The sequence below is a fragment of the Homo sapiens genome, chromosome 1, assembly GCF_000001405.40.
Source record: "Homo sapiens chromosome 1, GRCh38.p14 Primary Assembly".
NCBI classification, from domain to species: Eukaryota; Metazoa; Chordata; class Mammalia; order Primates; family Hominidae; genus Homo; species Homo sapiens.
The window spans coordinates 170008230-170024924 of NC_000001.11; the positions used below are offsets into that span (position 1 = coordinate 170008230).

The 16695-nt window shown below is 33.4% G+C and overlaps 1 protein-coding gene across 10 annotated transcripts in view; it reads right to left on the reverse strand.

Annotated features, from left to right (window-relative positions):
* The window catches only part of KIFAP3 (kinesin associated protein 3), a 163856-nt gene that overhangs the window by 86901 nt on the left and 60260 nt on the right, over nt 1–16695 (reverse strand). For all 10 annotated transcript variants that reach the window (XM_024454186.2, NM_001204516.2, NM_014970.4 and 7 more), the window contains 2 exons: nt 16189–16367; nt 8233–8395 (listed from right to left, as the gene is read on the reverse strand). In XM_024454186.2, coding sequence (XP_024309954.1) covers nt 8233–8395; nt 16189–16367 — 342 coding nt within the window. The remainder of the gene's footprint in view (nt 1–8232; nt 8396–16188; nt 16368–16695) is intronic.

Consider the following 16695-nt stretch of genomic DNA (forward strand, 5'->3'; position numbering starts at 1 on the left):
CACCAAAAGCAACGGCAACAAAAGCCAAAATTGACAAACGGGATCTAATTAAACTAAAGAGCTTCTGTACAGCAAAAGAAACTATCATCAGAGTGAACAGGCAACCTACAGAATGGGAGAAAATTTTTGCAATCTATCCATCTGACAAAGGGCTAATATCCAGAATCTACAAGGAACTTCAACAAATTTACAAGAAAAAAACAAACAACCCCATCAAAAAGTGGGAGAAAGATATGAATAGACACTTCTCAAAAGAAGACATTTATGCAGCCAACAAACATATGAAAAAAAGCTCATCATCACTGGTCATTAGAGAAATGCAAATCAAAACCACAATGAGATATCATCTTATGCCAGTTAGAATGATGATCATTAAAAAGTCAGGAAACAACAGATGCTGGAGAGGATGTGGAGAAATAGGAACGCTTTTACACTGTTGGTGGAAGTGTAAATTAGTTCAACCATTGTGGAAGACAGTGTGGCGATTCCTCAAAGATCCAGAACCAGAAATAGCATTTGAACCAGCAATCCCATTACTGGGTATACCCAAAGGATTATAAATCATGCTAGTATAAAGACACATGCACACATATGTTTACTGCAGCACCATTCACAATAGCAAAGACATGGAACCAACCCAAATGCCCATCAATGATAGACTGGATAAAGAAAATGTGGTGCATATACAACATGGAATACTATGCAGCCATAAAAAAGGATGAGATCATGTCCTTTGCAGGGACATGGATGAAGCTGGAAACCATCATTCTCAGCAAACTAACACAGGAACAGAAAATCAAACACCGCATGTTCTCACTCATAAGTGGGAGGTGAACACTGAGAACACATGGACATCACACACCAGGACCTGTCGGGTGGTGGGGGGAAGGGGCAGGAATAGCATTAGGAGAAATACCTAATGTAGATGATGGGTTGATGGGTGCAGCAAACCACCATGGCACATGTATACCTATGTAACAAACCTGCACATTCTGCATATGTATCCCAGAACTTACACTATAATTAAAAAAACTTTAGTTAATATTTTAAAAGCTGACATAAAAATTTGGAACATTACTTAATTTAAAATGTACAATAATATCACACACAACAGAAAAAAAAGTGTGAATAAACTCAAAAATTCAGAATTGTCCAAAAGAGTTCACCAGTGAAATGCCACTTTTATTATTATTATTATTATGTATGCACTCTGTAAAACACTGCCATCTGTCACTATGTGATGTTTAACTTTTATCCAAGAATGAAGGCCCTTCCAAAGAACACATTTCAATTGCGTATTTTATGCTTGCTCTTGTGCTAAAACCATCCTCAAGCATATCAAACAATCCTCAGCTTATGAAATCTCTAAACCAAAGCAAATGAGAGGTGCAACAAAATATATGCATGATGCATCAGACAAAAAGCTAGGAAAATTTAACTTTTCAAGTTACTTTTGAAACACTATCAGTACATATTCTAGGGTACTGAAGAATACACTATGACAAGGAATTTCCTTGCCATCTTCCAACCCAGGATAGTCTGACGTAAGGAAGCACCCTTGAGACATATCAATGTCAAATGGCTTAATAAGTTTTGACAAGGAAAAAAATTTTTTTGAAGATCTGATTCTTGGATAAGCCAAAAAAATCTTTAAACACTTTTAAAAACGTAACACTATAAAAATCCCCAAAAAGACTGCATCTAACAATTAAGTAAAGCCAAGTTTTGTAAGTCCAATTCAATTTGCAGATAATCACATTTGCTGAAGCCAATGGCTATGATAGATCTCCCAGATGGTAGCATTAAGTTACCAGACATAAGAAACTATCTGTCAAAGTATAGGAATGATAGAACTGAAATGATTTATAACTGATACTGAACTAAGCAGAAATAAATTTAGTATCCTTATGAAATCTCAGGAAAATAACATTAAAAAATAAGAAACGAATAAATTTGGCAATATTTAAGAGAAGGAAAACAAAGGAATATTCATATATAAGGTTTTCCATGGAACCAATTAAAATTTTAGATTTTCTGCACTCTTAGGGAAAGATCAAAACTACTCAAACAATTTCAGCATGAGATAGAAAATTTAAAATAATTATTTATAATATTCTTTACAAATCCCTTTTTGTGTCTCTGGTGTTAATAGAAAAAGCTAAAATCAAAATTCTTAAATGAAATGCTTTATGTGACAAAACAATATTAAAATAATTTTTGGTTCTATTGAATTACAGTTTCCCTTAGAGCCTTCCATGGAAAAAGGGCTGAGCTATAACACAATTTCTCCTTTGCCTTTAATTATTCAAATCACAGAACCTTAATTTTATATATTTTTTTCAGTTTGTTTTCCAAGTAAACTTTGAGTGAAGTTATTCAGTCATTAACACCAATCTCACAACAGCAGGGGTCGCAATGTACTAGTTAAATGTTTCAGGAAACTGAGAAGCAGATTAACTGTTCATATTGCATAGATTTATTAGAGCATGAAAGATTCACAACTCATTGTACTCTAGTGAAAATAATCTATCATTAAATATAAAAAAGATTTTTCTGTTGTGGGGGTCCCCAAATTATAATAAAGAAAACCTGCTTAAAAGCTGATAGCATTTCTAGTTGAAACAGCATAAAAATCACTTATGCTAAGTTCTACCATGTGCATTAGCTCCACAGAGAGGCTTCTACACCTCTTAAAAAATAAGTAATTTCTATATATGAAATAGGTAATTCTTTAATTCAGTCAACTGTCAACTTGAACATATATCAAACAGTGAGTTTATTTCTGAAGAAAAAAGCAAACTGACCATTCATGTCTACTGCATACTTTTAAATTCTTTTCTCCACAGTGAAGAAAATGTACCCCAAATACTTTAAATATTTGATTTACAGAAGGTTTCTGCCATTGAATTTCTTTAAATTTTAATTCCATGTAAATCACTCCAGTTATTTGCCAAAAAATAATCTAAAATAATTTAGATTGTCTACTATTTAACACATTAAAAATCAACTAAAAATAAAACTTAAAAAAATCCATCAGAAACAGTGATATTTCTGAAGGTTTGAAGGAAAACAAGTCTAACCACCTCCTCTAGTTCACTATCTTTCATCAAACCAACCAGGAAGATCAAATCAATGAGTAGCTAATAACTAGCATAAAAAAGGGAATACAGTAAAATACAAAGTGTCCATTGCAAATAGAAAAGGTAAATACTGTTTTGTGAACATTTTTGTTTAATTACATATATTAAACAAATGTTTAAATATATATCAAATATAATATGTAATATATAGACATATATTGACATGTGAATATACATGTATATAAACATATACACATTACATACACATGTGAGGGTTGGGCTACACTGTAAAATACATATTTAAAATAATATACTTTTTAACCTTAGGAAAAATATATCTTACTACGGATTGAGGTAAAACAAGTGTGAAAGTCAGTGCTCTAAATAAATTTTTCTTGTCCTTTTCAAATTCATGTCCTTTATAACACAGTTTCCTTACTATATCTTTTGTATAAGCATTGTAGCCAAAGACCACATATGTTAAATGTATCACTGAATTACTCAATTGAGAAGTTTAGCTTACTGTGTTAGGAGTTAATGATTTAATTGTCTACACATGTAACATATATATTAACAAATGTAAAAATGACCATTCTAGTAATATCATGAAATCAATTATACACTAAATGCAATTTCTTTGAACACAGCAGAGAGATACAATTAAGCAAAATCAGTTTCTTCAGAGTCAAAAGAAATGTTACAAGGTCCACACAATAAAACTCAAGAACATTACTAGGAATAGAACCCTTGGGGAACTCATTTGTAATTCATTTTTTAAAAAATATACAATTCAAATAAGTTCAGTTGTCAGTTTCCAAGACCACAAGAGAATAGAAATAGATTATTATAGAAAAGAAAAATTGCTGCTATAGAAATGCTGCTGGTACAGAAGAAATGTGAAGTGACAGCCAAGGCCAGGGGAAAAACAGAAAAATTGTATATAAAAATGAAAAATACATGGCGTTCTGGGGCCATTTAGCAAGGAGAAATCCTTGGGCATGGTAATAATATTTATGGCCCTGTATAATAAATTATCTTCAGACTTGCAAACTTTAATAAATGATAGTAAGAACAATAACAGCTACACACATTATAGCCTTTGAACCTAGGGACTCTGGCTCCAAATCCCATGCTTTTAACCACTACACTATACTGCTTCTCACTAAAATTTAAAATTACGTTCAAGATATTAAAGTAAATTTAAGAAAATACTTTAGAAAACAAAGATGTAATTGATTTTTAAAAGACATTCTGCTATAAACTGAATGTCTATGTTCCCCCAAAATTCTTATGTTGAAACATAATCTTGAATGTGATAATATTTGGGGCTGGGTCCTTTGAGAGGTGGTTACGTCATGAAAGCAGAGCCATCATGTACGGGATTGGTGCCTGTGACAGTCTGTTGGCATGCTGCTAATACAGACATACCCAAGACGGGGTAATTTATAAAGAAAAAAAGACTGGGGAGGCCTCACAATCATGACCGAAGGCAAATGAGGAGCAAAATTACATCTTACATGGTGGCAGACAAGAAGAGCTTGTGTAGGGGAACTCCCATTTATAAAAACATCAGATCTGGTGAGACTTATTCACTACCATGAGAACACTATGCGGAAAATGCCCCTATGATTCAATTATCACCACCTGGCCCGGCCCTTGAAACGTGGGGATTATTACAATTCAAGGTAAGATTTGGGTGGGGACACAGCCAAACCATACAGTGCCTTTAGAAAAGACACCTCAAAGGCTCCATTTCCCCTTCTGCCATGTGAGGACATGGTGAGAAGACAGCTGTCTATGAACCGGGAAGCAGGCCATCCCCAGAGCCTGCATCTGTTGGCACCTTGATCTTGAACTTTACAGCTTCCAGAACTGTGAGTAATAAATTTCTGTTGTTTATAAGTCACCCAGTCTATTCCCTTATAGAAACCTGAACGACCTAAGATAACTGTGTATGAAATGATTAAACACCCTTAATAATATAAGCCTGGAGAACTTATCAAAAAAGATCCTTTCTAGATATCTAGTGTTTTGGGATTCTATGTATATTTCTTTTGATGATAATTTCACATATTTGTAATTTTGTAATATTGCATTATCTCATTTAACTTTTCCCTATTCATATATACTATTATTATCTACATACTGAAGATGAGAAAACTGACATACATATATATATATATATATAAAATACATATATATATGTATATTTTAGGTAATTGCATAATACCACATAACTGGTATCTGATGAAGCCAATATTCAAAGGCATATAGCCTGGCTCCACAATCCTAGCTCTAATCAATGTGCTCTGGAATACCACAGTTGCCAGATGGACTACGTCCTGTAGGATTTGCTACGATGTGTCAGGACGTGATATTTAAGAGATTCTGGTAATCCTGAAAACCCAAAAATAACTTTCAGGATCAATTTTCTTGCTCATCAATGTTCCAGTTCTACTCATTCCAAGCATTTGTCCACTCCCTTGAAGTTAGGCATGGCGATGTGATTTGCTTTTATCAACAGAATGTAGCAATATGAATTTGTCACTTCAAAAGTGGAAGCCTTTAAGAAAAGCATGCAATTCTCCATATCCCTGTTCCGTCACACTTCTCTATTTCTGTTCCTGGTACTAGCATTCTAATAGTCATAGATTTTATGACATCTTTTTCTATCATCACCCACATCCAAACAGTAACTATAACATTCATTTCACCTACGATATATCCCTTCTGCCCTTTCCTTTTGCCTCATACTGGACATACTACATCTTCTCTAAACGAGGTTTTCTTTACTTCTTGTCTTGCCTATTACAGCAGGCTACTGATCTCATCTTCAGACTCTAATGTGAGTCCATCAAATAGAATACATCAGATTAATTTCCCTTGAGCAGATTTCTGATTATAACCTACCGAGCTCAAAAGTCTACAATGATCCCCACCATCAGTTGTAAGTACAAACTTCTTAGCAATGCTTTAAACTTCATAATACCACTTAAGAGCATAAATCCATTTTTCTAAATGTTATCTTTCACTTATTCTTAGTCATATTCTATGCTCAAGTTGAAATGGCAACTTATTGTTCCTCCTACTGGCCTAGCTCTAGCTATGCCTTAGGTAATGTTTATTGCTTTATCTGAATTACTTTCTATAGCCTCAACTCTTACTTTATAAATATCACCCTATGAAAATGACAACTTTTTCAATATCCATTTCAAATGAAATCTTATCTATAAAGTATCAATATAGGAACATCCTCTTTTGAATCCCTATATATCTGTAGGTTGAAAAACATTTCTCTATAGTGCTTAGCGCTGTGCTTTGCTATGGTAGAGTATCAACATTTTACTGAAATAAATTGAAATGCATATTCAAGAGAGTAAATTTTTTTTAAAAAAATTACCTGGTTTGTCAACAAAAATGTAACACGAGAAACGTATTTGTACTCAGAGTAACATAAGTCAGCAACATTTATAGAATGTCTACTTCATAACGATGATGATGTTGATTAGAAAAATAACAGTAGCCAATATTTACTAAGAAAATGTGTCAGGTACTTTGCAGGCAATTCTTCATTTGATCTTCAAAAACTCTAAGTTGAATATAGTTATTACCCTCATTTAAGAGATGAGGAAACTGAGTAACAAAGAGTTTGCATAACTTGCCCAAGGTCACATGGTTAGATGTAAACAGTCACAGTTCTAATAAAACAGTCTCGCTCAAGAAACTGGGCTCCAAAGGAGATAAAACATTAATTTATACATTGGATATTATGTCTTATATCCCAAAATTTTCCACTTGTTAACAAATTATGAAGTGGGTATCACATGAGTGATTTCTTAAAAATCTCTTTTAAATCATACATTTTATCATATGTTACAAGGCAATTATTTAATAAAAGTACATGACTAGAAACTGAACAAACCAAATAGACTATGAATTCCTTCAGGCCAATGGCTGTAAATTGTTTATCTTCATACATTGAGAAGCTGACCTAATAGGTGACACATAATTATGTCAGATTTATAATAAGTGAAAGGTCACATGATTTAAATTCAAGACCAATCAACTTTACTCTTAAAGTTTTCCTTATTCCTCCTCAAATGTCTACATTGCTTTGGTTCTCCAAAACCAATTTTTGAAAGTGCTCCTTAATAGAGTAACTTCTAAAATGTATAATAACATTGTTGTGCAGTATTGAATATATGGAGAAAGCTGTTAAAAAGAATGAAACTGCAGTACTGAAACAAAGGAACAAAGAGTTAAGACATAAGTAACAATTTACTTTCTGGTTAAGAAAGGCAATGCATTGCAGGTAGAGGAAAAAAGCAGGTAAAACAGGTAGACAGGCACTTAGGCATAAAAGAGCTTATTTAGGAAACTGCAAGTGTTTCAGTATGGTCATGGTGTAAAGTATATGCTGGGAACTGGCAGGAGCCCATAAAGATGGAAATTGAATAGATTGTAAAGAGATTTAACGCCCTACTAAGAAAGTTAGCATTATGTTGACTGCACAATGTTAACTCTTCAACTCACCTTGTCATAGACAGGTATCTTGCTGGCAGCTAAAACAAAATAACTTATAAACTGAATTCTCCAATACAGTACTTTCTAAGTCATGCTATAAAAAATACCCTTTTTAGAGGCTGAGGTGGGAGGATCACTGGAGCCCAGGAGTTCAAGACCAGCCTGGGTGATATGGTGAGACTATCTCTATTAAAAAAAATATACCCTTTTTAACTTAGTAACAAAAAGTTTCCACAAATTAGCTCATTTTTAAGTAGTATTTTGAAAGTATAGCAGAATATAAGAACTTAAACGATACCTGCGTTGTTTTTTTTAAGAAAAATCCTGAAGATAAAATATTTTTTTCCTTCTTGCTTCCTTATTTTTCCTTGCATCATTACTTTTTGGCTTAGTATGGATAAATGAAGTCAAAGGGTTAAAAGTTGCTATTTTATTTCATTCCATAGCACCATGGAAATCCTGGTACAGGTCATTTTTTACTTACTCTGCTTATTTTTATTATTTAGTTTCCAGTCAAAGAATATAGACAGAATGCTTTTTGTTCAGGAGGCTTTTCAACACAGAGCTCAATTTTCCAGCGATGTTGGAAATTCCAGACAACACTGTCATTAATTTCTAAAAAGCATACCTAGGAGTGCAGTGAGCTTGGGAAGCAGTCCAACTTGTACCATCTTATTCCTCAGTCCTGTGTCAAAGGATAGGTTTAGTAAAAGTCGGAGGGTGATATTCAGCAGGTCTTCATGCTCACAAGGTATCATTTTCACCAGTTTTTCAACAATATCCATTTCCACCTAAGTAAAATAATAATACAAATACAGTGAAGTTCTGTTGCAAAATAGGACAAAAAGAATATAATTATTTTTTCTTTGTTTTTACCCTAATGTATATCTGTTTTATAATTATATGTTAATCTTATACTCCATTTCATTCTGTAAACTTTCCTGAAATCAAACTTTTGAGGAGAAAATATATATGCCACATCATCCCCTCCTTCCCTCATTTAATTGCATCAACTGGAAGACAAATTACATTTGATCCTTGAAAACACTCTGCATTATTGAACACCACCTACTAAGTACCAGGCCCTATGCAAAGAAGATCTCACCTTGGCCTTCAAGGATTCCTCAGTATAAAAGGAGATGAGGCTGGGCACAGTGGCTCACGCCTGTAATCCCAACACTTTGGGAGGCCGAGGCGGGCAGATCACGAGGTCAAGAGATTGAGGCCATCCTGGCCAGCGTGGTGAAACCCCATCTCGACTAAAAATACAAAACTTAGCTGGCTGTGGTGGCATGCACCTGTAGTCCCAGCTACTTGGGAGGCTAAGGCAGAAGAATGACCTGAACCCGGGAAACAGAGGTTGCAGTGAGCCGAGATCATGCTACTGCATTCCAGCCTGGTGGCAGAGAGAGAGACTGTCTCAAAAAAAAAAAAAAAAAAAAAAGAGTAGACAAATAGAATGAATAATGAAAATACAATGTGATAAAAACTGAATGAATACAATGCTCTGAAAACAGCATTGAGAGAACTACTAACCCACCTGGAAGAACAGAAGACTTCAAATTAGGAATAAAGTAAAAAAAAAAAATGACTAAGAATTTGTTCTCTGGTTCAGAAAGGCAATGGCAATACAAGTTGAGGAAAAAGCCAGTGGATCGGCATTTAGGAATAAAAGAGCCTGTTAGGGAATTGCAAGTGATTTAGTATAATCATAGTATAAAGTACATGTTGAAGACTGGCAGAAGGCTATAAGACAGATCTACATAAAATCATAAAGGCTTTTAATGCTGTACTAAGAAGTTTAACTTTATTACACAGGCAGTGAAGTGTTCTGAAAGATTTTAAGTCCAGGAGGTGATGTGGTCAGATGCGTTCCTAGACCAGGAATACTCCTAAAATCCAAAGTCCTTGACACTAACTAAACACCAACTTGTAAAAGGCCTATTTAAAAACAGCAGTCTCAGAGTCCTTTTCTGTATGGTCAATAAGGTAGATGTATTTTCTGTTAACTGACAAATGGAAAAAGAGGTTTAGGGCAATGAAGGCAAAAAATTATTTTAATTTTTGTCATTTAATTTGAGATGGTACTCAGTGAATATTTAAAAATCATATACAACTCAGGAGAGAAGCTAGACTAAAAGCAATAGTTGAAACTTTAAGACAGGGATCAGCAAACTATGGCTAGTGGGCCTATCTGGCCTGCTATCTGTTTTCATTCAACCTATGAGCTAAGAATGGCTTTTGACTTTTACAATTTTAAATGGTTGGAAACGAAAATCAAATGAAGAATGATATTTCATGACCTACAATAATCATATGAAATTCCAATTTCAGTTTGATAAATATTTACTGGAACAAAGCCATGCTCATTTTTTTTACCAGCTGTCAATGGCTGCTTTCACGCTACAACTAGAGCAGAGTTAGTAGTTGCAAGACAGATCATATGGCCTGCAAAACCTACAATATTGACTATCTGGCCCTTTGAAGAAAAGGTTTGCAAACCCCTGCTCTAGAAGATTATAAAATTGCATTAAGAGAACTTACTTTATAGTAACAGAGGACACAACTTATTTAGTAAGAGAAGCTCTGCATTCAGATTTTTTAAGGTAGCAATCGGAAAACTTTGGTTGTAAAAACATCTCACGTCTTTTAGTTACAAAGCAATGGCAAAAAAAGAAATTTGAAAAAAATTTATGATTTTTCAATCAAAGGATTATTTTAATTTAATCCTTTAAATTTAATTTAATCAAAGGATTATTAATCCTTTGATTATTTAATCAAAGGATTTATGATTAATCTTGCTCTACTTTTTCTTTTATTGGAGATCTAAAATATTTATTTATACCACCCATTTCATATTTTTGTTCCAATCTTTCACTGACCTCATAAAAATCACATTAATAACTGAGCCCTTGATATACTTTTTTCCTTTCACTCTATGCAAGGAATAAACACAAATTGTTTTAAATTGCTAAAGTGACAAATTAACACCTGATTTTTCCTTCAGACTTCTATCTACACTCCACAGCCACACTGTAGTCATACCCTAGAGCTGTTCATTATAGAGTATAATTCTATTGCCAAAGACTTCCAAAAATCAAACACAAAATAAGAGCTGATTCTTTGAAAATACCAAAGCAACTGATAAACCACTAATCTAGAAAAAAATGACCAATATCAGAAATAAAACAGAGAAAATCACTTCAGCCCTTCAGACAGAGATAAAAAGGAAACAGTACCAAAAATTTTATGCTCCTACATCTGCTAACATACAAATGAATTAAATTCCTTGAAAGACAAACTACAGAGCTACCACTCAAGAAGAAACAACCTAAACAGTCCTGTATCTATTAAACCAATTTACAGAAAGAAAATTCCAGGCCTACATGACTTTTTACTGGTGAATTCTATTAAACATTTATGTAGAAATAATACCAATTCTACACAAATCCTTCCAGAAAAATTAAAGAAGAAGGGATGCTTCCCAGTTCATTATAGAGGACACAGTTACTCTAATAATAAAACCAGACCAAGACATTAGGAGAAAAGAAAACTATAGAATAATGCCTCATAAACATAAAAATTCTCAAAAATAATTAGCTAATAAAACTTAGCAATATATATAAAAGAGCAATATATCATGACCAAGTAATGTTTATCCCCTCAATACAAGACTGGTAAACATTCAAAAGTCAATCAATGTAACTCACTATATCAACAGTCTTTAGACTGTTGCGAATATGCGAAAAACCCATATGATTATCTCAGTAATAGATACAGGAAAGGCATTTCACAAAATTTAACATCCATTCATGATAAAAAGTCTCAGCAAGCAAGAAATAGAAGAACTTCCTTAAACTGATAGCAAGTATCTAAAAAACCCCACTGTTAACATCATGCTCAATAGTGAAAGACATTGTTTTCCTCATAAGATCAGTAACAAGGCAGGGATAGCCGCTCACACGATTCCTCCTCAACATCATACTAGAGGGCATACCCAGTGCAATAAGGCAAGAAAAAGAAATAAAAATCATACAGATTAGAAAGGAAGAAACAAAACTTTCTATTTGCAGATAACACAGTTGTCTACTTAGAAAATCTCCAAAATCTGTGAGAGAGTCAGTACAACTAAAAAGTGTGTTTAGAAAGTCACAGGACATAAGGTCAATATGCAAAATCAATTATATTTCTATATAATATCAACCAAAACCAGGAAACTGGTAATTTTTTAAACTGCCACTTATAATGGTAAAATACTTAGGTATAAATCTAACAAAATACATATGCTAAACTATAAATGATGGAAGAAATAAAAAAAGACCCACATAAATAGAAAGCTATACTATATTCATGGATTGGAAAAATCCAATATGGTCAATATATTGATCCCCTCAACAGATTCAATGCAACCCCAATGATTTTAAAATGTACATGGAAAAATACAGAATAGAATAACTCTGAAAAAGAATACCAACATTGGCAGCCTCTTACTGCTTGATTTCAATACTTACTAAGAGGCTATAGTAATCAAGAGAAAGAGGTATCAATGAAAGCACAGACACACAGATTAATGGAACAGAAACCAGAGTCTAGAAATAGAGGCAAACATATATGGCCAAATTTTCTTTTTTATTTTTTTGAGACGGAGTCTTGCTCTGTCGCCCAGGCTGGAGCGACGATCTTGGCTCACTGCAAGCTCTGCCTCCAGGGTTCACGCCATTCTCCTGCCTCAGCCTCCCGAGTAGCTGGGACTACAGGTGCCCACCACCATGCCAGGATAATTTTTTGTATTTTTTAGTAGAGATGGGGTTTCACTGTATTAGTCACGATGGTCTCTATCTCCTGACCTCGTGATCCATGCAAAGGCAATTTCAATAAGGTGCAAAGGCAATTTCAATAAGGTACAAAAGCAATTCAATGCATCTTTTCAACAAATAGTGCTGGAACAACTAGACATCCATATTAAAAAACATAAATCTTGGTCCATATCTTGTACCATATACAAAATTAACTCATGTATCATATACTAAAACGACAATGACAAAAACCTCTATAAAACTTGAAGAAAACATAGGAAAAAATCTTTGTGAACTTGGGTTAGACAAAGATTTCTTAAATATGACACCCAAATACAGTCCACTAAATTTTTTTTATATGCTGACTTCATGAAAATTAAAGACTTCTGCTTTTCATAGGAGAATGAAAAGAAGGCACAGAAAAGTGAAAATACTTGCAAAACATATAACTGATAAACAACTTGTATCCAAATACAGGAAGAACTCTCAAAAGTTAGCAGTAAGAAAATTAAGCAAACTACGCAACATATATCCTCTCTGTTGTTCCTCTAAAAAACTGTCTAAAAGCCAGGCTGATATTAGTTCACATCAAGAGTAAAATAAACACTTTATTTAAATAAATAATACTACCTCACAAATAGCTCAGCCATCTCCTTATTCCTTTTATAAATAAAACTGCCACAAGCTTCAATTGTTGCTAATTATATCAGGTAGTATTTTCCTTTTGGAAAAAAAACAGTGTATGCATACACTGGTTGTTACAGCAAAACTTAATAAAAAAAAACTTGGAGAGTTTGTTATTAAGTTTTTTTTTTTTTTTTTTTTTTTGAGATGAGGTCTCACTCTGTCACCCAGGCTGGAGTGCAGTGACATGATCTCCGCTCAATGCAACCTCCACCTCCTGGGTTCAAGCAATTCTCCTGCCTCAGCCTCCTAAGTAGCTGGTATTACAGGTGTGTGCTACCACACCTGGCTAGTTTTTGTATTTTTAGTAGAGATGGTGTTTCACCATATTGGCCAGGCTGGTCTTGAACTGCTGACTTCAACTGATCCACCTGCCTTAGCCTCCCAAAGTGCTGGAATTACAGATGTGAGCCACCACACCCAGCCCGTTATTAATTTGTATTTCTATTGCACAGAATAGAATGTGAAATATGTGCAATTAGTCAATCAGATGTTTAAACACTAGACTAGTATTTAACACAGCCTTCTAGTCATGTCTTTTTGGTTGATAAAAACCCAAACCTGAGAGCTAAATTTAGTAATTGCCTCAACATGCAATGCCTTCAGGTCTATTTCTTTCTTTTCTTTCTTTTTTTTTTTTTTTTTTTTTTTTTTGAGACAGAGGCTTGCTCTGTCGCCCAGGCTGGAGTGCAGTGGCATGATCTCAGTTCACTGCAACTTCCACCTCCTGGGTTCAAGTGATTCTCCTGCCTCAGCCTCCCAAAAAGCTGGGATAGCCAGCATGTGCCACCATGCCCAGCTAATTTTTGTATTTTTAGTAGAGACGGGGTTTCACCATGTTGGCAGGCTGGTCTCGAACTCCTGACCTCAGATGATCGATCTGCCTTGGCCTCCCAAAGTTCTGGGATTACAGGCATTAGTCATCCTGCCCAGCCCTCCTCAAGTCTATTTCTATAACACACAACTTATTAGTATTTTTATTAAACAGTCAATGTAAAGTGAGGTTTTACCAACAATCTATCAGCAAGTTTGTTTCAGCCTTTAGTTGCACCTTTCTCAGTGTTTCTGGAAATTAACATTTAAAAATTGCTTATTGTTAATCTTACTAAAAATGTCTTTAAAAAAAAAAGACCTAAGATATTTTTCCCAGGAGGCAAAGAAGAAGAGTAGGAAGTTGAGTATCTCTCTAGATACTCTAATTTGCTTCCTTAAGCAAATTAATGTCTCTGGTCCTCTCCTACTTCATCTGTGAAATTGGGAGGCTAGATTCACTAAGTCTGGCCTTGGATTTAAGGTCCAGTCAAATTCTAAAAATCTTGATTCTACAGATGTCCTTAAATAAAGTGTATTTCTTTCACAATAAAAGGTAAAATCCATATCATCTCTAGTAAAAATCTGGCTAATCAAATACTTCTCTTAATCTTAGAATAACAAACTTTTCTGAACCTCAGTTTTTCCTCAATAAAAAATGAGGTTTAATGAGATAATTTATATCATATATTCCAATTCTATGATCTTACCAGAAAATAACTTTTAATAATAGTCAAGATCTTTTTGATAGAATAAACACATAATTGTATTAGTTAAATCTAACTCTAATACATACATAATAGATATATGCTGATACAAATCACTTTGAATTTTGAAAACTTACTACAAGTGAACTTACTTTGACCACATAAATGGAAGAACATACCTTAACTTATAGCAAGGGGAAGCAATTATTTAGCCATACTCTAACTACTCAGGACTGTTTATATACTACCATCTTATCATATTCTTCTTAGATATAAGTGAAAACAAAAAACATGTTTGATTAATCTAAGAATATTCAATCCCAAAATAATATCAGGCACATCATGAACATAAATATATACTGATAATGAAAATGACAGATACTAAATATATAGGGGAAAAATAAAATTTCATAAATTCAATAATTATAATTCAAGGTACTTATTAAATCTGATAAATAAGTCTCAGGTTTTCAAAGGGCCTGCCATATCATTCACTATAGTATTAGCTACTTCCTAGTTCATTTGATTTTAAAATAAAATAGAGTAGGTAGACATACTATACATTCAGACTATCTAAAGGAGAAGCCACTTTTGCCAGTACTACACAGCCACATAATGATACATAGTTCTAAAAATTATCCTCAATGGAGTTAAGGTCAATAATCCAATAACTTCATTTATAGGAAACTGCTCCAAGAAAATAAGCAGAAATATAGACAAATATGTATGTACAAATATGTGCAGTGAAGAATTATTTGTAATAGATAAAATTGTAAACAGCTCAGTTATCTGAAAACAAGGTAGGTTAATATATGATATATTGACTACATTATTGTACATAACAAAGACTTTTTAATGACATGGTAAAAAGCAGATGAGAATTTATATTTTATCTTTATATATTTCTATACTATGTATATTCTACACAGGTGAAAATGATATATGCTCAACTTGTATTTTCCAAGGATCATTGTATCAACACAGTAAAAGATGGCAAATGAAAGCCTAGTATAATAATTCAAGCAAGAAATAAAGAAGGTATGAATAAAGAGGGTATCAATTAATACAATGGCACTAGAATGAAAAGAAGAAATATTACAGTTTCAAGAGATTTTTAAGAAACAATCAACAGGTTGTGGCTGCCAAGTAGAACAGCAGGTAACAAAGAAGAATTGTAGGTAACAAAGTGGAAGTGTAGGTAACAATGAAGAGATCTGGCTAAATTTTAATTCCACAAACTAAAGTCAGAGATGCAGAAGGCAAAATAGCTTAGGGTAAAACAACAAGACCAGGTGACTCTGAAGTAAAATTTTAAATTTAAACAAACTTTCTATATATTATGTTTAATATGGCAAGATCCATTCTATATATTAGAAATGATTTTTATTCAGAAAGCTTCAATCACCTGGAATATTAACTAATATGGAATACATTTCTTAATGAAGCAATATCAGTGAGTTATTGCTATTATAAAATCTTTATTCAGAATTATCTCGGTAGGGGAATAAAGTGTTTAATTTTTTTCAAAATATTCTAACTTGAAAATGGCAAAAATGAACTATTTCAAGAAAAAGCTTTGTAAGTTACCATATCATTTTTATTCTCCATAAAAATGCTGAGTTTCTTCAAGAATGACACAACTAAAATTAGCAGCTCAAAATTGTCCCGATCAAGGGCTTTCACCAACATGTGAACTATGTTCTTGTTCCTCATTTTCAGTTCGGTACGAGTATCCTCAGCAAGATTCAGAAGCAAATAAAGAGCAACTAGAAAAGTAAAATATATGAGAGATAAAGAATTAGTATACTGAATTAATAATTTAGAAAATCATTTCTACTCACCAAGGCAACAGAGATAGCCCTAAAAAGGTAATATATTATTTTGAAAATTTTAACTGGTTAATAATTGGTTAATTAAAAAACATTTATTGTTACTGAATGGGATATGTGTTTGTGTGTGTGTGTTATCTAAAACAAAACACACATATAAAATAATTCATACAATGCTGAGAAGGACACAATAACCAAAATAAAACAACGATTCCTGCCCTCTTGGAGCTTAGAGTTTAATAGAAATCAAATGGCAATTAAAGGT